A 23,043-nucleotide genomic window follows, 5' to 3' on the forward strand; every position below is an offset into this window, starting at 1 on the left:
ACAAATGGGGTGCAGCATATACTGCTTGGGTGATGGATGCACCAAAATCTTACAAATCACCACTAAATAACTTACTCATGTAACCAACCACCACTTGCATCCCAATAACCTGCGTGTGGTGGGGAAGAACACGGTCAGATTGTGGGCCAGTTTTCCCCTGGGCTGTTTCTCAGTGTAAAATGATGGTACAACGATAGCAGCCATCTTTGTGATGACAGCTCTCATGAGCCACAGTGTTCCAATCTGAACCCGTTGCCTTCTACGGAGTGTACATATATAATCCTGACAGACAGCCCTTCACCAAGCTCTTTGGAAGAGTCCCGTCACTGCTTCCCTGTGTTTGGCTGGAAGAGCACACATCCTTCAGCAGCCCCTTGAGAAATGATATTCAGGAAGTAAATGCTTTTGAGATCTCATATATCTCCAAGTGTCTTTATTCTACCATAACCCTTGGCTTATAATTTGGCTATGTAAAGAGTTCTAGGTTGGAAATAATTTTTTGTAAGAATTCCAAAGGCACTTCTACATTATCTTCTTTCTAGCTTCCAAAGATGTTGTTGAGAAGCGTGAAGACATTTTGATTCTTGATCCTTTATATGTAACAATCCGCCCCTCCGTCCCCCCTACACGCCTGCAGAATCTTCGTGTGCTTGGGTGTTCTCATATCTCACAAGTAACATGCTCCGGAGTTGGTCTATTTTCATCCATTGTGCAGTGACCTTTTGACTCTGGAAATTCTATCAATCAATCAGTTCTGGAAAATTCTGAATTATTTTGATGACTTCTTCCCTCCTGTTTTCTCAGGTTATTCGGCTACTGACTTTCCAGACCAGTCCTCCTATTTTCTCTTCTCTGTTTTCCATGTTTGTCTTTGTTGCCTCCACTTTCTTTGAGTGTGTCAACTTTAATTCCTAACTTTCCCATTGAATTTTAATTCCTGCTACCATATTTTTTAATTTCGACAAGCTGTTTTGTTCTGTTTCTTAATAACATCTTATATATTATTATGGCTGCAGTATCTCCTCTGAGGATTTTTTTTTTGAGACACGGTCCGGCTCTGTCACTCAGGCTGGAGTGCAGTGTCACAATCATAGTTCATTAAAGGCTTGAATTCCTGGACTCAAGCAATCCTCCTCCCTCAGCCCCCCAAGTAGCTGAGACTATAGGCGCACAACACCATGTCTGGCTAATTCTTTTATTTTTTGTAAAGATGGGGGTCTCACTACGTTGCCCAGGCTAGTCTCAAATTTCTGGGCTCAAGTTATCCTCCCACCTTGGCCTCCCAAAGTGCTGGGATTTAGACATGAGCCATCACACCCAACCTGAGGATATATTTCTTAAAAACAATTTTTTTCTTCTTGCATCATCTATTTCTCCATAGTCTTTCCCAGATTTGTTTTACTCCTTATCTTTCACAATGTAGAACTGCCTTATCTGGTGATCCTCAACTGTCTATTCATGTTTAAAAGTCGGGAGCTAAAGCACGGTTTAGAAGCTGTGTTGGTTGCGGGGTGGTTTGTTGAGCCTCTCTGCTCTGTGTCCTGGCTTGGTCATTTGTTGGGAAACTCTCAATTTCAACAACTGTAGTAGGTCTTTTCTCTTAGGCTGGTCAGATACTCCACAACTCTTCCAATTTCCTTCTGAGAGAAGTTCGAGGGTGGGCAATGAAGAGATGGATGACAACACTCCATATGCGTTCATTCCTACAATCCCTATCTTCAACACAGAAATGTGGCTCTCGCTAGGCGTGGTGGCTTACACCTGTAATCTCAGCACTTTGGGAGGCTGACTTGGGCAGATCACCTGAGGTAGGGAGTTTGAGACCAGCCTGACCAACATGGAGCAATCCCGTCTCTACTAAAAATACAAAATCAGCCGGGCGAAGTGGCACATGCCTGTAATCCCAGCTACTTAGGAGGCTGAGGCAGGAGAATTGTTTGAACCCAGGAGGTGGAGGTTGCGGTGAGCCAAGATCAGACCATTGAACTCCAGCCTGGGCAACAAGTGCAAAACAAAACAAAACAAACAAACAAAAAGAAATGGGGCTCTCAATTGTATTAAGGTACTTTCGAAAGTACTAACCATTTATCAATATCACAGATCAAAAAGTTCTAGGTTTATTTTGTATTATAATGAACATCCTTTTATTTTTTCAAAATTGAAAAATAATTTTTAGATTTTTCAAATTTATATTTATCAGTTATTGAGATGAACACCTCTCAGTAATTTTTTTTTTTTGAGACAGAGTCTAACTCTGTCGCCAGGCTGGAGTGCAGTGGTGCAATCTCGGCTCACTGCAACCTCTGCCTCCTGGGTGTAAGCGATTCTCCTGCCTCAGCCTCCCGAGTAGCTGGGACTACAGGCGCATGCCACCATGCCCAGCTAATTTTTGTATTTTCAGTAGAGATGACGTTTCACCATGTTGGCCAGGATGGTCTCGATCTCTCGACCTCGTGATCTGCCCACCTCAGCTTCCCAAAGTGCTGGGATTACAGGTGTGAGCCACTGACCTTGCAATAATTTTCAGTCAGTCTTTATACATTAAGACTACCTTGCTTCGTTTGAGACAGGGTCTTGCTCTGTCACCCAGGCTGGCGTGCAGTGTCACAATCATAGCTTATGGTGGCCTTGAACTCCTGGACACAAGTGATCCTCCTGCCTCAGCCTCTCAAAGCACTGGGATTACAGACGTGAGCCACCACACCTAGCAACACTACCTTTTGATATGTTGCAAATATTTTTTCTGAATTGGGCAGGAATCTTTTACACAATTTAATTCCTTACAAGTAGAGAAGTAAGAACATTAACTCTGGAGCTGGACTATTGGGTTCAAAACCTGACTGACAACTTTCTATAAAAAAGCTGACACTTTCAGCTATAAAACTCTGGCAAGTTATGTTATTTAACTGGTGTCTGTTACATGTCCACATATGAGAAAAACAGTAACCGCCTCCTGAGGTTTTTGTGAGGACCAAATAATTTTTATTCACATACATCTAGTTCATCTACCTAAAGTGTTCAGAACAATGTTCAGCACATATTAAGCTTGATATAACTGTTACCTATGATGATGACGATGATGATGATAATGATAACTGTACAGTCACTGTCTTTCTGAAGTTGTTTGGTGATCAAGAATGTGTTTAGAACTATCTCTTTATTAGACAAAGTCATAAACCAAAAATTTCCAACTTCCTGTACATGTTGAAAGCTTTAAATAAGGATCCTTGGATACAAAATATGGTCCACATGGCTGAAAATTAATTCTATGACACAATATTATTCTAAAGTCATCCTTATTTTGAAAGCCTAAAGATTTTCTTTTATGGCTATAAAAATACCACCAAGCTAGACATTTTAATTCTGTTGAGATATACAAATAGAATTACCACAGCAGCCTACACCTTCTATGATTTCTAAACACTTAAACATCAATGGTTTTGGGAAGATGCTGTTGTCCTTCAAAGTTCATTAAAAGTTCAGATGCCTTTTGTGAAAGCCCAACTTTTCTTCTACCTGCTAAATTGTCTTTTCAGAAGTCTTGCCGGATGTTTTCTTTGTTTGCCTCTCCATGTTGCTGCTTAATTTGATAGATTTCATTTTCTAGCTGAACAATAGTCCGTTCAATCTCATAATTCTTACTGACCAGGGATACCCAACTAGAATGGGGGGGAAGAAAAGAAAAAAATTACTCAATGTAAAACTTCTCTTAGAAGATTTTATTTTAAATGTATACACATGTTCACCCAGAGCTATAACACTAACCTTCACTTTTTTTTTTTTTTTGAGACGGAGTCTCGCTCTTGTTGCCCAGGCTGGAGAACAATGGCGCAACCTCAGCTCACTGCAACCTCCGCCTCCCGGGTTCAAGGGATTCTCCTGACTCAGCCTCCCGAGTAGCTGGATTACAGGCACACGCCACCACAGCTGGCTACTTTTTTGTATTTTTAGTAGAGATGGGGTTTCACCACGTTGGCCAGGCTGGTCTCAAACTCCTGACCCCAGGTGATCCACCCACCTCGGTCTCCTAATGTGCTGGGATTACAGGCATGAGCTACCATGCCTGGCCTAACCTTCACTTTCAACTTTCCATTAAAAAAAAATCAAGGCACAATTGTGGAAAAGTAGGTAAAGGGTACATGGAATCTCTCTGTATTCTTTTTTTTTTTTTTTTTTTTTTTTCCAGAGACAGGGTCTTGCTCTGTTGCCTAGGCTGAAATGCAGTGGTGTGATCACAGCTCACTAGCCTGGAACTCCTGAGCTCAAGCAATCCTCCAACCTCAGCCTCCTGAAGAGCTTAGACTACAGGTGCATGCCATCATGCCTGGCTCATTTAAAAGCATTTTTTTGTAGAGACAGGGTCTCGTTATGTTGCCCAGGCTGGCTTGAACTCCTGGCTTCAAGCAATCCTCCTACCTTGGCCTACCAAGGCACTAGGATTACAATGTGAGTCACCACACCTGGCTCTCTGTATTATTTCTTACAATTGCATGTGAATCTATAATTATCTAAAAATAAAAGTTTAATAAAAAAGCAAATTAGAAACAGATGAGAGAACTTGCAAACCAGAAGAAAGAGGAAAGAGTGATGAAGATAGTATTTAATCAACAAAAAGGAAAGAGGCAATAGTTTATTAAATTGAGGAAAAAGCGTGAAAGGGTACCAACGAGACTGGTAAGACGTACATGGAGACGGTGGAACAAGAATGACTTGAGTAATGAAGGGAGAAAGGGAATGGCCAAGCAAAAAGGAAGAGAGAAATGACACAAATATTCAAGATTATATTGTATAAAGGTATACATGTGTGTATGTAAAAGAACATTTTTAAAAATGCATAAACCTGAGGTACAAAAAAATTACCAAGTATGAAATCTCCCTCCCTACAAGATTTTATAAAATAATTTTTTTCCTTTTTTTTTTTTTAAAGACTAGGTCTTGCTCTGTTGCCCAGGCTGGAGTGCAGTGGTGTGATTATGACTCACTGCAGCTTCAACCTTCCAGGTTAAGCAATCCTCCTGCCTCAGCCTCCAGAGTAGCTGGGACTACAGACATGTGCCACCGTGCCTATTTTTTTTTTTTTTCCGTTTAAAAGGAGAATAAAGGTAGAGTTCTATTCAAGGCCAAAAATACTAGACTAAAAACAGGGTATTCTAAGACCAGAATCCTTTAGCAATGGTTCAATTTAGCAAAGGATCCTTCGCCAATGGTTCAATTCTCGTTTATAGTTCTCTTTAACACCTTATAAAGAGGCAGAGACGGGGAAGGGTGAATTCAGAAAATAGCATTTCTTTGTTACCTGTGGCATCCCATTTGAATGCTATTTGAATCATATTATTGAATCGACCTTAGAAAGGGCTAAACAATTTAAAAGATGATGGAATTATAGATACTCACTTTGACTCCATTTCTCTCAATTTAGATCCAGCTGTGAGTTGCATGTTCTTTCTCTGCCAGTTTAAATCTTGAATATGTTTTCTGTAAAAAATTATTTATACAACCCAATTACATTTTAATGTAAGACCTAAATCAACAGAAAACTCTATAACACAAGAGAATATCTTAATCCCATGAGAACAATATTATGTACAGTTATAGGCTAACTGTAGAAATTACCTTTCTTCTAATTATTTTTTGATTACAAGTTTCATAAAACATGCTCATTGTGAGAAATCACACACACACACACACACAAGCACACACAGATTACAAGTCTCAAGTCCCCCCTCTCATGCATGTCTCCTTTTTCCTGATAACTCCTGTTGAGTTTTTGCTGGGTGTCCTTCCAGGCTTTCCTATATGTGTGTGTAGAAATTGGTTTTAAAAATCAGATTATATGTGTTATTCTGCAACTTTTCCCACTCTAAAAGTGCCTTTCTATGTTTGCAGACTTGCAAGCTGCAAGTGGCAGAGATGTTTTCAGACCTCAGGCCTATTTCTCCTCTACTTAGGTAGGGCAAACCCAGTGTCAGATGTTGAACAAAGAGAGTGGATCAATTGTTTACTTTCATCTGGCTGCAGTCTCTTTGCTTTCTTTTTCCTCCTATTTTCTATTTATTAAAGGTTCACTTAAACTTCATTCTGTAATAGGAAAAAACAATTTACCTTAACTTCTGAAGTTCCTTCTGTGCGTGTTCAATCATATGAACTAGATTTCTGAAGGAAAAGAGGAAAATCAGATTAAAATACATTAAAATAGTACCAATTAAAAGTGAACTTTTTCAAGTTTTTCTGCCAAAAATCATATTTATGGAGCTCTGTGCCAAGAACTATGTTGGACACTCCATAATCGAGGACTGTCACTCATGCTGGAATGCAGTGGTGTGATCATGGCTCACTGCAGCCTTCACCTCCCATGATCAAGTAATCTTCCTGCCTCAGCCTCCCAAGGAGCTGCAATCCTCCCACCTTGGCCTCCCAAACTGCTGGGATTACCATGCCCTGCCTGATCTTGGAGTACTTAGGTTACTTTTTTTTTTTTGAGACAGTCTCGTTCTGTTGCCCAGGCTGGAGCGAAGTGGTGAGATCTCAGCTCACTGCAGCCTCTGCTTCCTGGTTCAAGAGATTCTCCTGCCTCAGCCTCCCAAGTAGCTGGGATTACAGGCATGTACTGCCATGCCTTGCTAATTTTTGTATTTTTTTTTTTAGTAGAGATGGGGTTTCACTATGTCGGCCAGGCTGGTCTCGAACTCCTGACCTCAAGTGATCCATCTGCCTCGGCCTCCCAAAGTGCTGAGATAACAGGCGTGAGCCACTGTACCCAGCTTTTTTTTGCGGAGGGGAGGGACAGAGTCTTGCTCTCCTGTTGCTCAAGCTGGAGTGTAGTGGTGCAATCATGGCAGCCTCAACCTCCTGGGCTCAACTGATCCTCCCACTTCAGGCCTTCAAAGTAGCTTGGATTACAGGCATAAGCCACCATGCCCGGCTAATTTTCATTACTTTTTTGTAGAGACAGGGTTTCACCACGTTGTCCAGGCTGGTCTTGAACTCCTGGGCTCAAGCAATCTCCCCACCTCAGCCTCCAAAGTGTTGGAATTACATGTGTGAGCCACACGGCCTTTTGTCACTTCTTAAACTGTCATGACTTCTTGTCATAGAAAAGATGGAATATATCTGAGTACCCACTTATTTTATTTCTCAACCCCCTTTTATCTCTATATTTCTGCATATACATTCACCTTGTCATTCTCTCCTCCTGTCTACTGCTAACTAGAGAGAGGTGAGAAAAAGAAAACTGTTGTAGAATGAGATATCAGTCCATATTTGCATGTAACATATGCATAGCAAAATAAAAAATAGATACCAGTCCAGGTCAGCTGTAACTAGCACAGGGGAAAAGTTCAATAATACAGAGTACCATATAATTATTTTAGAGAAGTAATGAAACAGATTTTAATCTCTTTTTTAAGTTTAAATAACAACTTTATTAAGATATAATTCCACATCATATCAATTTCCTCTTAAGGCAGTGGATCAATCACCTACAGGGTCCATTTTTACCACATCTGGCCCTAATGTGTTCTTGCTCTAAATCTAATATTGTTTCCTGGCTTTTGTGACTCAAATTTTCTGTTGCTCACCTGAGTTATTCTCCTACCTCTACTGACTGGTTTCCTTGCATTAGCTGCAATTCTCTCAAGATTCAGTCTTTAAACAGCTGTGCCTCTCTAGGCTTTCCCTCAGGTCATCCCCCTTTCCTTGACTTCGACAATCACTCCATGCTGAGCACTATTGATTTTAGTGCTCTATTCCAGACTTCTGACCACTAACAGGGAGCTTTCCTTTGAATTGGCTCTCCCTGAAAGTTTAGTTTGTCTTCTCCCTTCTCCCACCCTTCCTCTTAAATATACTTTGATAAAATATAGTACATCTCCTCTGGAGAAGTGTCCACTGAATTTGGAGGAGACAAAATATGCTTAGGGGAATGTGAAGCACTATAGAGCACTTTGTGATTAAATGGAAAACAAGTGATGTGCACAATAATTCTGTGTATAGTTACTCAGAAGAGGGAGACAATACTAGAAGCAGAATTTCAATCAGGGAAGAAGACAAGTAAGCAAACTAGAGCTGAGCCCTAAACAAGCTGAATTTGGGTATAACAGGTAAAGACAAGGGCAAGTAAAGGCCCAGAGGCAGGATTTGCAATAATCACCAGAGAAAGGACTAGTTTGGGTTGAGTTAAAAGTCTACAGTTGAGGTAGTAAGGAAAAGCCCTTGAATACCACGTTAAAAAGCCTGGCCCAGCCGGGTGCTCACACCTGTAATCCCAGCACTTTGAGAGGTTGATGCTGGAGGATCACTTGAGGCCAGGAGCTCAAGACCAGCCTGGCCAACATGGTGAAACCCCGTCTCCACAAAAAATACAAAAATTAGCCAGGCGTGGTGGTGTCTATAATCCCACCTACTCTGGAGGCTGAGGCAGAAGAGTTGCTTGAACCCGGGAGGGTTGCAGTGAGCTGAGATTGTGGCACTGCAATCTAGCTTGGGCGACAGAGCAAGATTCTGTCCCGCCCCCCGCCCCCACCTCCAAAAAAAAAAAAAAAAAAAAAAAAAAAAACTTGGCCTCTACCTTGCAGGTAATAGGGAATTATTAAAGGTTTTCAGGTAAGTTGACAGCAGTGTTCTTTTCAATGTCATATTTTTTCCTCTGCATCTATGCTCTCCATTCCTGGAATGTTTTCCTTGTTTCCTTCTAAACATCCCAATTTCACCTTTCTTCAACAACCTTCAACTTAATGCCCCATCTTTTTTTTTCTTTTTTTTGAAACAGACTACAAGTGTGTACCACCATACCTGGCTATTTTTTTTATTGTTTTCTATAGAGACAGGGTTTCACTTACGTTGCCCAGGCTGGTCTCAAACTCTTGGCCTCAAGTGATCCTCCTGTCTCAGCCTCCCAAAGCACTAGGATTATAAGCGTGAACCACGCCTGGCAATGCCCCATCTCTTAACGCTTAGTTTACAGACCACAGCACACAATGTAGCACTTGCCCCCATATTGCCAAAAATGGACTATTGGTTACTTGGCATAAAACTTATTATCTCTTCCATTAGATAAAGCTTCTTGAGAAGAATCACATTTTTCCATTTTGTGAAACAGATTTATTGATGTCGCTTACATTTCTTAATCACCCTAATCCCATTCTTTCTTCTTTTTCCCCCCTTGCAATATATAGATATATAAAAGAAAGTTAGTTGTTGGCTTTGTAGAGTTTCCCAAATTCTGGATTTTGTCCACTGGATCATTTTTATGTGGCTACAAATATTAAATGCATAATTCTGAAGATTTGAGAAACAGTATTATCATTTCATGGTTTTGCTTTATTTTATATAGCTATGTTTCAGGAAACATACTCTAACGAAAGTTGTACATACTGTTATGAAGTTCAGTGGCCTTTTTCTCTTAAATTGTGAATAGACACTCAGGAAATTTTAGGGCACAAAGGGGCCATGCAGATAATCTAACCACGGAATTTTGCAAGCAAGGAATCTGAATTCTAGATAGACAATAAATACTAAAGCTAGAGCTAGTTACATGGAACAGAAACAGGATGTCAGTGGCTTGTTTTGACAACAAATACTTGCTCAAATTTATTTGTAATCCCAAAATTACTACTTGTAGTGTTTTGCAGTCATTCATGGACATGTGCACAGTGGTGAAAAATCTGAGCAGCTGAGCATGCACATTTTCAGCTGAGGATGAACAAGGAGGTGCTTTGCCTTCTTGTTTTAGCTCTCATACAGAAATAACCAGAGGATGAAGTTCAAGTTCCAAGTCTGGGATCTGTTAGTGGGGCAGTTTCAAGAAAGTTACTTTACATTTCTCAACTTTGTTTTCTCTTTTATAAAATAAAGAAGTCTACCAGGATGAGTTTATTTTAGGATTTAAGATTATAATCTATTTGAGAGATATGTATATGTGTGCACATGAATATGTATATATTTCCCCTAGGAGAAATGGTACAGTATTTGCTAATTCAGTGTTCATAGGACTTAAAGAACATAACCCATGACTAATGAGAATCAACTGTTTAAGCAACGCTTGATAACATTCTATCAAGTGGTGCTCTGCAAATGGGACCTCAGAACTAGTTTTGTTACAATATTATACAATAAATGTCGTAGTTTGGTTTAGGTCCTGTTAGTACTCTTGAACTTTGAGGTGGGTTTCAAAATAGTGGCCTTTCATATGGGTTGCAGTTCTAGAACATAATCCCAAGACAAAGTCTAGCTATATTATTTTTATCACACTTCCCCTACCCATACTTTGTGGGGTTTTTTTGTTTGTTTTTTGAGATGGAGTCTCGCTCTGTCACTGTGGCTGGAGTGCAGTGGCACAATCTCAGCTCATTGCAACCTCTGCCTCCCAGGTTCAAGCAATTCTCCTACCCCAGTCTCCTGAGTAGCTGTGACTACAGAAGCGCCACCATGGCCGGCTAATCTTTTTTTTTTTTTTTAGTAGAGATGCGGTTTTACCATGTTGGCCAGGCTGGTTTCAAACTCCTGACCTCAGGTGATCCACCCGCCTCGGCCTCCTGAAGTGCTGGGATTACAGGTGTAAACCACCGCGCCCGGCTTTTCTTTTTCTTTTCTTTTTTTTTTTTTTTTTTTGAGATAGAGTCTCATTCTGTCGCCTAGGCTGGAGTGCAGTGGCAAAATCTTGGCTCACTACAACCTCTGCCTCCCAGGCTGAAGCAATTGTCATGCCTCAGCCTCCAGAGTAGCTGGGATTACAGGCACACGTTACCATGCCCAGCTAATTTTTTGTATTTTTTTTTTTTGTAGAAATGGGGTTTCACCATGTTGGCCAGGCTGGTCTCGAACTCCTGACCTCAAGCAATCCACCCACCTCTGCCTCCCAAAGGGCTGGGATTACTGGCATGAGCCACTGCACCCAGCACCTCCCATACTTTTAAAATGTACTAAAACTTTGGGTGAGATGGAAAGAAAAGAGAAAAAACAAAAAAAACAGAAGATGAAGAAAAAGGTTCTTACTCATTGTATACTTTCCAGGCATTACATCCATGCTGTGACATTAGTTCCAGATTCTCAATTCTAACTGCTTGATGCTCTAACTGGGCCATAGAATTGTTTACACATTCTTGCCATGCAGTAATGTCATTTTTTTGACCAGAGGAGGGGGCTGGAAGCTCATATCTGAAATTAAACAACAAAATAAAATAAAACCATCTATACTGCCAAGCCTTTACATCTCTTCTCAGTAGAATGTCCCATGAGTCTCCATATAGTATAAAAACTACAGAAGACTAAGGATGTAAACCTTGCAATAATAAGAAACCGATATATGCTAACAATCAATTTACAAATATGATTTAGCACCATTATGTTCACTTCAATGTGAACTGGTTAAATAAGCAACATTACATTCACATAAAAGATTGTTACATTAGCTATTAAATGTTACTGAAGAATATTTAATAATATTAAGATGTCAGTAATATATTAAGGGGAAAAAGCAGTAGACAAAAAAGTTTGCTACCATTTTTGTAAAATACTCACACCCACCCATCCACTAACATACCCATGCGCCGGTAGAGAAAAAAATGAGAAGCGATATGACTCCTTCTATTCTCTCTTCATACTACCCAGTCAGTCCTTCAACACTGCCTCTCTCTCTCTCTCTCTCTCTCTCTATATATATATATATATAGTTTTTTTTTCAAGACTGGGTCTCCCTCTGTCCCCAACGCTGGAGTGCAGTGGCACAATCTCGGCTTGCTGCAACCTCCATCTCCTGGGGGGTGTCAAGCGATCCACCTACCTCAGCTTTCCAAGTAGCTGGGTCCACGGGTGCGTGCCACCACACCCAGGTACGTTTATTATTATTATTATTATTATTATTAATTATTTTTGGTAGAGATGGGGTTTTGCCATGTTGCCCAGGCTGGTCTCAAACTCCTGGATTCAAGCAATCCACCAGCCTCGGCCTCCCAAAGTGCTGGAATTACAGGTGTGAGCCACCACACCCGGCCAACACTGCCAATATTAGCCAGCAAATACATTCTTCACAAATCTCAGCTCATTACTGAGTTACTACAAACTAAATTTTAATTTCCATTTTAATATTCTTACCGTTTCATACTGAGCAATTCAATTGGTTGTCGAGCAGCCAGTCTTTCAAATTCATTTCTCATTATGTCAGTCTGATGTGTAAATCAGAAAAAAGATTTCTAAGATCATGTTGACAACTAAAAATTAACAATCACCAAAGAACAGATTTAAGCTACACTACCCATTATAATGAATTGTTTACCTTTCCCTAATTCTTCTCTGAGTTAAATGCTCTCTAGAATCTGAAGCACACACACACACACTCACTCACTCACTTCACATTCAGGAAAAGTGGCATGTATTAAGGAGCCCACAGAGAAAAGGATTAATCCTAAACCAGTGGTTCTTAATTCCAGAAGCATATCAGAATCAGTTCGACAGTGCTATGGTTTGAATGTTTGTCCCCTCTGAAATTCATACAGAAACTTAATCCCCAATGTAATAGTATTAAGAGGTGGGGTCTTTAAGAGGTGATTGGGTTATGAAGGCTCAATCCATTCATGGGTTAATAAGTTATCACCAGAGTGGGTATGTTATAAAAGCCAGTTTGTCTTTCTCTTGTGTGCCCCTACCTTGCCATGTAATGCCCTGTGCTGCTTCAGGACTGTACACCAAGTCCACACCAGCAAGAAGGCCCTCACCAGATGCAGCCTGTGAACCGTACACTTTCCAGCCTCCAGAAATCCAAGAAATAATTTATTTATTTATTTATTTTTTTTTTGTGAGACGAAGTCTCGCTCTTGTCCCCCAGGCTGGAGCGCAATGGCGCGATCTTGGCTCATCTCTGCCTCCCGGGTTCAAGCGATTCTCTTGCCTCAGCCTCCCGAGTAGCTGGGATGACAGGCATCTGCCACTATGCCTGGCTAATTTTTGTATTTTTAGTAGAGACAGGGTTTCACCATGTTGGCCAGGCTGGTCTCGAACTCCTGACCTGAGGTGATCGGCCTGCCTCAGCCTCCCAAAGTGTCTTTTCTTTATATTCACTATCTTCTCTAGCAATTTTACTGTTCGCAAGTAAATGTAGTATAGCTGTTCCTCTTTAGGGCCAACGTCCTAACCCATTTCCATTCTGCACATTTCCTACCCTGAGGATAAAGAACTGCTTAAAATATTTCTTTGTAGTAATACTTCGGTTATTCCATGTAATTTTAATTTTCTGAGGGTTTCAACTATCTTAACAATTAGACTAAATAAGTATCAAAGGCCTTACAGAAGCCTGCATGAATGTTTAAAAGTTTTTATTAGGCCGGGCGAGGTGGCTCATGCCTGTAATCCCAGCACTTCGGGAGGCCGAGGTGGGTGGATCACGAGGTCAAGAGATCAAGACCATCCTGGCCAACAAGTTGAAACCTCATCTCTACTAAAAATACAAAAATTAGCTGGGCGTGATGGCACGTGCCTGTAATCCCAGATACTCGGAGGCTGAGGCAGGAGAATTGCTTGAACCTGGGAGGTGGAGGTTGCAGTGAGCTGAGATCACACCACTGCACTCCAGCCTGGCAACAGAGTGAGACTTCATCTCAAAAACAAAAAAACAAAAAAACAAAAAAACAAAAAACAAAAAACAAAAAATTTCGTATTAAGCATTTCTTTCTGCAGAAAGTATTTTGCAGGGGCTACTGCTAAATTACACACAATCTTAAGAAAATGTAGTTACCTAGTTTCCTGCAAAAAAAAAAACCAGGGCATTCTAGCTAGAAAATTCTGCAGTGACAGACAAGGAGTAAACAGCCAATTAAACACGAGGCAGTATAAAAATGCAGTATAAGTAGTCTTGAGCCATGTAGCATAGGAGGAACCCTTAACTAACTCACATGCTCAGTAAGTGATAAATCTGGAATTTTAGCTCATCTCTCTCCAAAGACTAAGCCAGTGTTCATGGAGCGGCAAGGGCAATCCCTGCTCATGGAGTAGTCTCATCTTAGCTTTGAGAGGCCTTCCTCAACCACCCAACCTGGAGTCGCCCAGTCACTTTATCACTATCATTCTCTGTGCAGCATTTATCAACAATTTTTCTGATCTATTTATTGTCTGTCTCAACACTCTAGATTTTAAGGTTCATGAGTATGGACCCTGCCGATACTGTTCTCCAATACCCAGAATGGAACAGACCTTCGTAAATAGTTGTTAAATGAATTAATGAAAGAGTAATTTCAGAGGCAGTTTGAAGAACAGTTAAGGTCTTAGTCAATTAGCCTCTCTAAGCTGCAGTTTTCCCAGCTAAAAAATGGGGATAGCAAACATAGTTATATAGTTTATAGAGCTGTTATGTGCACCAAGTAAGACAGTGAACCCAGTAAATATTACCAACTATTACTAAGAAAGGATGCCAGGTGTGGTGGCTCACACCTGTAATCTCAGCACTTTGGGAGGCCGAGGCAGGTGATTCACTTGAGGTCAGGAGTTCGAGACCAGCCTGGCCACAATGGTGAAACCACGTTTCTACTAAAAATACAAAAATTAGTTGGGCATGGTAGTGCGTGCCTGTAATCCCAACTACTTGGGAGGCTGAGGCAGAAGAATGGCTTGAACCCAGGAGGCAGAGGTTGCAGTGAGCCGAGGAGTTGCACTCCAGCCTGGGCACCAGAGCAAGACTCTGTCTCAAAAAAAGAAAGGATTAAATAATCAGTAAACTAATTACAGGAGAATCACTTGAACCTGGGAGTTTACTAATTAAATCATCAGTAAACTAATTACAAAGGTATTTAAGAGAGAAGGAAAAAAACTGGCAAAAGTATTTTAAAAAGTCTGTGATTGAATGCAGTTATCTGAAACCTTCAGAAATCAGTCCAATAAGGAAGCATTACTGTACTTAGTTCTTAATGTGGTTAACATCTACACCTAGGTACAAATATTTAGAAAAAGCATAGGAAAACACGTTCATAGGAACATACGTCTTCTACTTAAAACTCAGCCAAGGCTGGGCATGGTGGCTTACACCTGTATCCCAACACTTTGGGAGGCTGAGGTGGGTGGATCACTTGAGGCCAGGAGTTCAAGACCAGCCTGGCCAACATGGTAAAATCCCGTCTCTACTGAAAATACAAAAATTACCCAGGCATGGTGGCAGGCACCTGCAATCCCAGCTACTCGGGAGGCTGAGGCAGGAGAATCACTTGAGCCCGGAAGGTGGAGGTTGCAGTGAGCAGAGATGGCACCACTGCACTCCAGCCTGGGTGACGTAATGAGACTCCGTCTCAAACAAAAACAACAACAAACTTAACTAACAATTTTTTCATGTTACTTTAATGTAAATAATATCTTTTTTTTTTTTTTTCCCTTTGAGACAGGGTCTCACTCTATTGCCAGGCTGGAGTGCAATGGCATTATCATGGCTCACTGTAGCAGTCTTGAACTCCCAGGCTCAAGTGATCCTCCCACCTTGGCCTCCTGAGTAGCTGGGGCTACAGGTGCATGCCATCATGCCTGGCTAACTTTTTAATTTTTCTTTTGTAGAGAAAGGGTCTCACTATGTTGCCCAGGCTGGTCTCAAGTGATCCTCACACCTCAGCCTCCTAAAGTGCTGGGATTACAGGTGTGAGCCACCACACCCAGCTAAATACTGCCTTTTAATAATACAATCCTTTCATAAATAAACGATTAGGTATAATGGGAAAAAATCCTCCAAGCTGTACATACTGAAATACTTGAATCCAATAATTTAGAAATGATATCTTACATTTCATTTAGCTAACTAGACCCTAACTAGAATCCTGGGTGTACTTCAAGGTTATACATTTAAAATAGTATCATACTCAATGTGTGGAGTAGAACAGCATCTGACTCCTTAGGCAATCATGGACACTCCCTTCTCTAATCCTCTTGTCCTTATACATACCCTCCGCTATAGGTCCTTTACATATTATTACACATTTATACATACTATTGTAAACTTTTTGTTTTATATATCTAGCTCCTCACTGTATTGTATTTTTCTGTATTCAGAAACCCTATCTTTTTTGGAGAGGATGTTTGTCTTAAATAAAGAAAAGAAAAATTAAAAGAAAACAAAATATATTAAAAAAGAAACCCCATATATCTCTATGATCTCAGAATCTAGAATGGCACCTAGCACTTGTAAAGTATTCATATCAGTGAAAATTATTGCCTACATTAATCAGAAATGTGTTAATAAAAACATCGGATAGATTACAGAAAAAAGGAGAAGGCTGAGAAAAAAGTAGTATACACTTGGATATGGTTTGTCCTTTCAGTCGTATCACATACATTTGGTAAATAACTAGACTTTAATATGCCACTCTCCAGTGGTTCTAAAGAGCTTAGGTAATTAGGCTTATACATATTAAAAAACCCTAGATCACTTGCTGTAGAGTGAATCTTGGCAGGAGAGGGTCCCTTTGAGAATTTACGCATGGATCCTATCTCAAAGAATGGTAGCCACAAATTTTTGCATTAAGTGAGTTGTGGAGCCCCAGAAAGTCTTCCTATGGATCTTAGAATAAGAACCTCGGAGAAGACTTATCTATCTAGTTGTTTTCAATAGACTGACACCTATACAGTAGGTAAGTAGTAGCTATGCAGGCAATGGTTAAAACTGGAATTTAAAGCTCTCAATCCAAAATAAAGGTTCACAGGAATTCTCGTTCACACCTAGGCTCAAGACATACTTACTTCAAAGGCAGAATAATCCGGGGCTGTCAGGTAGCTCAGGTAGTTCTTAGTAGGTCGGTATCTGCGAGTTTCCTCCTCCACCAGCGCTGCAGCCTAAGAAAGAGAATAGGGACCAGGGTAGAAGTGGCAAATTGTAACATGTTTCTTTCAGTACCGAGCCAGCTAGCAGTGAGTCAGCTACAAAGACACCCCGCACTCACCGCTTCCCGCACACCAGGGGCTTCATAACCTTGATCAAAATACGGCAGCGCATCCACCACAACCTCTCCAGCCACCAAACCTGTGCCCGCCATTCTGAGGACCTCAGGTTTGCCTGCGTTTTCTGCGTCTGCGTAAACTCAGTTATATTTAATTACGCCGGCGCCTGACACTGATGTAATCACGTTCCCTCCGTATTGACGTTAGTGCATGCTCAGTTGCTAATTTTGAAGGCGGGTCCGCCCGGTATCTAGAAATTGCCGGGCTGGTTTGTTTTGGGCGGACGTGACGTAACGTCTTGGCTTGTCTGCGTCAGCGAAAGGCCTCAATTTCCTGTCCTCTGCTTACTGCCCCTTTTTTTGCCTGCGAATGGCGGCGATTTGAAGTTGGGGCTTTTCGTTTCCTCCAAAACATTGATATCTGGAAAGGGAGCCCCTTAACACTTTTGGAGGGAACTGGCTGCAGCATTTGGCGGGGAGAGATAAACTGGTTTCCCACCTCTGCTTACTCCCACCTTCTCCCCTTAATCTTCTCTTCCTCTGTGCGAGACTTTTTTCCTTTTTTATTGTAGACACAGGGTCTTTGTTCTGCTGCCCAGGTTGGAGTGCAGTGGCGTGATCATAGCTCACTGCAGCCTCAACCCCCCGGGCCCAAGCGATCCTTCCACCTCAGCCTCCCGAGTAGCTGGGCCTAGAGGTGCACACCACCATGCCTGGCTAATTTTTAATTTTTTTTGTAGAGATGGAGCCTTTCTATGTTGCCAAGCCTAGCCTCGAACTCCTGGCCTCCCAAAATGTGGGGAATACAGGCGTGAGCCACTGCACCCCGGGTCATTCCTCTTTTACTTCCTTGCTGTACCCCAACTATCCTTCCCCCTCGGTGCCCTTAAAACCTTTGCATTGGGTAAGTACATTTTTTAAAGAGACTCTAGAATTGGGCGCCAGTCTCCAATTAAAATTGTGAAGCTTTATGGTCTGCGTATCAAAAGGAACCTCAGTTCCTTAAAAATCCTGTCATTTTGCCTTTAGGACTTAACGGTAATAGAATGGCATTCCTCACTGCCTCCGAACCACTCAAGCTGCTGCCCATGCACTCTCTTCTGCATGGCTCCTGGACTAAGCAGCCTCCCTTTGATTAAGCAGGTAAAAACCAAATAAAGTTGTCAGACTATATGCCCTGCCCAGTGTGCAGTCTAGACCCAGCCTTTGTCTGCCAAGAGCCTGGAAATGTTGACCTCCGTTATTAAGCCTGGTCAGTCTAAGACTAATTCTTATTACCGAAGTACCATTAGGTAAATGTGCTAGCTATAGATTTAAGTGACATAAAAGATCTTAAAGAATTCTCCAAGGGATCTGTGGGGGGTTTATGTATTTATTCATTAAAAGATCTGTAAACAACATTTTATACAAATCTTGATTCTTTTACAAAAATATCCAGAATTCCTAACACTTTACAGAAAACACAACAGACCTAAGGAAATGAAGCAGCTTCAGGCTGCGAGGATGAAGACACCATTGCTGAAGCAAAGGTCTCCTCCTAGAGGGATAGCCAGGATCCATCACAGTAAACCCTTTTACCCCCATTTTATAAACATCCAATTATTAACTGTTCCTGCTGGGTTGGAGTGTAAGAAGAGACCAAATGGAGAGATGTCTAGTAGAAGCCCCACTGGGGGTAACCTGCTTAACATTAAAAAAAAGACAGGCTCAGTTCTATTCCCTGGACCCACATCTGTAGGAATTATATTATACAGCACCAGTCTTAAATGGTGTTCTGCTTCAGATTCATGCATACCTGAATGGGTTGTAATGACAATACTGTACAAGTCAATAAACTGTATCACAATACAACTTACACAGTTTTGTAAGGTTGAATAAATACTTTCTGTGCCAGTTAAAACCATCAGCAGAAACTGAAGAAAACAAACTGACATTTGCTATAACATTAATCAATGAAAAGTGCACCATCTGAACTTGAATTTGCCCATGAGTTTGAAAACACACACACACACACACACACACACACACAGGCCGGGTGCAGTGACTCATGCCTGTAATCCCAGCACTTTGGGAGGCCAAGGTGGGTGGATCACCTGAGGTCAGGAGTTCGAGACCAGCCTGGCCAACATGGTGAAACCCCCGTCTCCACTAAAAGTACAAAATTAGCCAGGTGTGGTGGCGGGTGCCTATAATTCCAGCTACTCAGGAGGCTGAGGCAGGAGAATTGCTTGAAGCCGGGAGGCGGAGGTTGCAGTGAGCCGAGATCACACCATTGCACTCCAGCCTGGGCAAAAAGAGCGAAACTCCATCTCAAAAAAAAAAAAAAAAAACCGAAACAAAACACACACACACACACATACACACACAAAAAAAACACTGCACCATCACTGAAAACTTTCTCTTTCCAATCACTACTACTACTACTTTAGATATTAAAGGTCTGGATGACTAAGTGGTATATGTTCAAGGAATGTTCATATTTTGAGTCTAATTTAATTAGAGCAAAAATTTCAACATTTCTAGGGGAATAAAAAGAGTCTCATCTAGGCACCTATAAAGTTCCTTATCCTCAGAGCTGAAAAGTGGCTCTGGTACACTTAATAGAAAATTTTTATTAATAAAAGAAATAGCTATATAATCCTACTGAGATGAAATTTCCATCTGTAGGACTAACCAACTTTTTCTGTGTCCATAAAAGTCTTGGCTTCAGTTCTGTGTTGTACAACTTTGGGCAACGTATTTAACTTCTTTGAATTTGTTTTTTTCTTTTTTCTTTTCCTTTTTTCTTTTTTTTGAGATGGAGTCTCGCTCTGTCACCCTGGCTGGAATGCAGTGGCGCGATCTCGGCTCACTGCAACCTCTGCCTCCTGGGCTCAAGCGATTCTCATGGCTCAGCCTCCCGAGCAGCCAGGATTACAGGCACCTGCCACCACACCCAGCTAATTTTTTGTGTGTATTTTTAGTAGAGACAGAGTTTCACCATGTTGCCAGGCTGGTCTCGAACTCCTGACCTCAAATGATCCACTCGCCTTGGACTCCCATAGTGCTGGGATTACAGACGTGAGCCATAGCACCCAGCCTCAGTTTATTAGTAAAATGGAGATGCAAATATCTATCTCATAAGGTTGATTTAAGGATTGGTTGAGATGATATGCATACATATACCACAGTGCATGGCACATGGTGGACACTAAAAAATAAAGGTGGCTCCCATGCCCTTGAAAGGACATTTTCATATTAGCTATAATTTCACAAAGTTTAAATTTATTTACTTATTTTTAAAATGTTTTTGTAGAGATGGGATCTTGCTATGTTGCCCAGGCTAGTCTCAAACTCCCACCCTCAAACTCCTGCCTTAGCCTCCCAAAGTGGTGGAGATTACAGGTGTGAGCCACTGCATCCAGCCTCCACAAAGTTTAATGTTGACATGTGAGGCACAAGCAAACTACTCAAATGCCACATAATTTGGAGGAGGAGTTGCAAGATGTCTAATTTTATAAGGTACTTAATAACAGTACCTTATAATATTACAAGTAGGGCTTCCTCCTAAGTGAGATTCCCCTAGATATAATATAAGGCAAAACAATGGAGATATGTGATGAGTCTATTCCTTAGCCCAGGTCAAACAGCCCATGGGTTTAAAGGGGCCATGATAGTTCAGTGATGAGAATTATGTGTATAAGGCTAGTGTTCTCCATTTCCATCATGTCTCTCTACTACCTTAAACTCAGCATTTCTCTCATTATTCTCATCTTTGAGCTATTTTTTAAATGTAACAACAACAAGGCTTTTCCTTGTGAAACACAACTACTTTCACAGACAAAGCACAAAACAGAGAATGAGCCCAAGAATCACATAGAAAAGGCTGCTATAAAAAAAAAATGGAGACAGAGTAAAGATGGCATGGTGCCAGACCATTCCCAACAATTCTCCAGTGATTACTACAGCAGCAACAGGAGAATCCTCCTCTAACAGCCTGACTCGCTCTTTAACCTTTTAAAATTTCAAGAATTTTGTAGAATACTTCATGGGATCCTGACCCTTAGAAAAATATTTTCTTTGGCACTTTCTGTTGTATATTCAGGATGGAGACAATCAGAGATTTCATTTCTTTTGCAGAAATTTCATTTTGCTTCCTAAAGGGAAAGAAAAGTACAGTGAATGCTCAATTCATTTTTATTTATTGTACATTATTTGAGGTAAGGGATTAACAGGTCAGTCATTCAGAACAGCCCAAGAGTTAAGCTGACATCTCAAACTCAGTTGATGTGTTTAACCCCCAAAACAAAAACAAAAATGAACCCCAAACCCCATATGTCTAGTTAATTGTAGCGGCAGAAAAGAACTCAGACATCATGTAATCCAGTGGTTTTCAACCTTGACTATAGGTTAAAATCACCTGGCTTCTCCCCAGAGATTTCCTGGAGCCCAGGGGAAAATTTTTTTTAAGTTCTCTGGAAATTATAAAATGTAGTCAGAGCTGGGAACCACTGATCTAATCTAACCCCATTGTATAAAGATGAAATAACAGCCTAAGGCCTAATTTGTCCATGGTCTGTCAGCTAGTGAAGGACAGGGCCTAATTAGGGGGCATATATTTCAAAGACAAAATATAAATATCGTAGCATATAGGTTATTCATTATTTTAGGCTAGCCACACCCCTGTTCTCTTGTATCATACTAATTAACTATTACTGAAAAATCATAAATGTGTTTCTGTATGAAGTAGAAAATTAGAGACTTGTAAGAAATCCTCTTTTGCCTCAGAAGTCCCTCTAAACCAAGTGTTTTTAATCTGGAGTACCAAAGATAGACTTCATGGGGTATATGAGCAGCCTAAAATTATGTGCAAAATTTATTTATATGCTGTAAATACATTTTTCTGGGAAAAAGGACCATGGTTTTTATAAGATTCTCCAAGGAATGTGTCCTAGAAATGATTAATAATGATGATATGCAAACATATCATGAAATAAATAAACTTATATCAGGGAAGTTCATCTCTGGGAAATGGCCCCACAGACCACTCTGATGAGGGATCCCAAATTTTGAGAAAAATGCTGCTTTTTCTCCAAAACACTTTGAAACTAGCATCATGGTTTATGGTCAGCCTATTTAAGGCTATATTGCTGATCTGATTATAAAGCTTTTGTGATGAGGCCCACTTACTGCAAAGCTTTTTCAGCCACATTTATTTTTTATTTTTATTTATTTTTTATTTATTTTTATTTATTTTTTTAATTTTTATTTATTTATTTTTTTAGAGACAAGAATCTCACTCTGTCATCTGTGGCAAGATCATCTTACTGAGGCCTCAAACTCCCGGGCTCCAGCGATCCCCCTCGGGCCTCTCAGCCTCCTGCGTAGCTAGAACTACAGGAATGTGCCAGCATGCCTAGCTAATTTTTTTTTTTTTTTTGAGACAGAATTTTGCTCTTGTTGCCCAGGCTGGAGTGCAATGGTGTGATCTCTGCTCACCGTAACCTCCATATCCTGGGTTCAAGCAATTCTTCTGCCTCAGCCTCCCAAGTAGCTGGGATTACAGGTGCCTGCCACTAAACCAGGCTAATTTTTGTATTTTTAGCAGAGATGGGGTTTCACCATGTTGGACAGGCTAGCTAGTCTCGAACTCCTAACCTCAGGTGATCAACCTGCCTCAGCCTCCCAAAGTGCTGGGATTACAGGCATAAGCCACCATGCCCAACCATGCCCAGCTAATTTTAAAATTTTGTGTAGGGATGGGGTCTCACTATGTTGCCCACGCTGGTCTCAAACTCCTGGCCTCAAGCAAACCTCCTTACTTGACCTCGCAAAGTGCTGGAATTACAGGCATGAGCCACCGCGCCTGGTCTTCAGCCACATTTATCTAACAGGAAAACACAGCAACTAACCAAGACTCCGCAAAATTCTATTCATCCCACTGGGCTCCGACTCAGGAATTGTTTCCAAATACTGGATGGCCCGGATCTCAAACAAACCTACAAGGAAAAACTCATGTTGGTGAAACTGTGTAACACTCCAGACTGGGAATTACATAAAATTCTGTGCTTATAACCAGTGTATTATTTCCAGGGCTAAAACAATATTACAAAATAATTCTCATAATAAACAACTCAGATTTTAAGCCCTTGTCGCTTTACAATAC

General features: G+C 40.9%; 2 protein-coding genes and 1 long non-coding RNA gene across 4 annotated transcripts in view; 1 reads left to right on the forward strand and 2 right to left on the reverse strand.

Moving 5' to 3' along the window:
* Positions 1 to 2,959: 2,959 nt before the first annotated feature.
* BCAS2 (BCAS2 pre-mRNA processing factor) lies at positions 2,960 to 17,018 on the reverse strand. The gene is made up of 7 exons (NM_005872.3): positions 16,902 to 17,018; positions 16,702 to 16,794; positions 12,091 to 12,161; positions 10,993 to 11,154; positions 6,103 to 6,153; positions 5,395 to 5,475; positions 2,960 to 3,659 (listed from the first exon to the last, which is right to left on the reverse strand). The coding sequence occupies exons 1-7, from the start codon at positions 16,992 to 16,994 to the stop codon at positions 3,533 to 3,535; spliced, it is 678 nt and encodes a 225-aa protein (NP_005863.1). The 5' UTR covers positions 16,995 to 17,018; the 3' UTR covers positions 2,960 to 3,532.
* Positions 17,019 to 17,245: 227 nt separating this feature from the next.
* LOC105378914 (uncharacterized) lies at positions 17,246 to 23,022 on the forward strand. Its single transcript, XR_947719.4, has 3 exons — positions 17,246 to 17,802; positions 17,928 to 18,041; positions 22,163 to 23,022. It is a non-coding gene; the product is annotated as an uncharacterized LOC105378914 (long non-coding RNA).
* Positions 18,253 to 23,043, reverse strand: part of DENND2C (DENN domain containing 2C) — an 87,200-nt gene continuing 82,409 nt past the window's right edge. For both annotated transcript variants that reach the window (NM_198459.4, NM_001256404.2), the window contains 2 exons: positions 22,790 to 22,876; positions 18,253 to 21,034 (listed from right to left, as the gene is read on the reverse strand). In NM_198459.4, coding sequence (NP_940861.3) covers positions 21,003 to 21,034; positions 22,790 to 22,876 — 119 coding nt within the window. In that variant the 3' untranslated portion in view covers positions 18,253 to 21,002. The remainder of the gene's footprint in view (positions 21,035 to 22,789; positions 22,877 to 23,043) is intronic.

The sequence above is a fragment of the Homo sapiens genome, chromosome 1, assembly GCF_000001405.40.
Source record: "Homo sapiens chromosome 1, GRCh38.p14 Primary Assembly".
NCBI classification, from domain to species: Eukaryota; Metazoa; Chordata; class Mammalia; order Primates; family Hominidae; genus Homo; species Homo sapiens.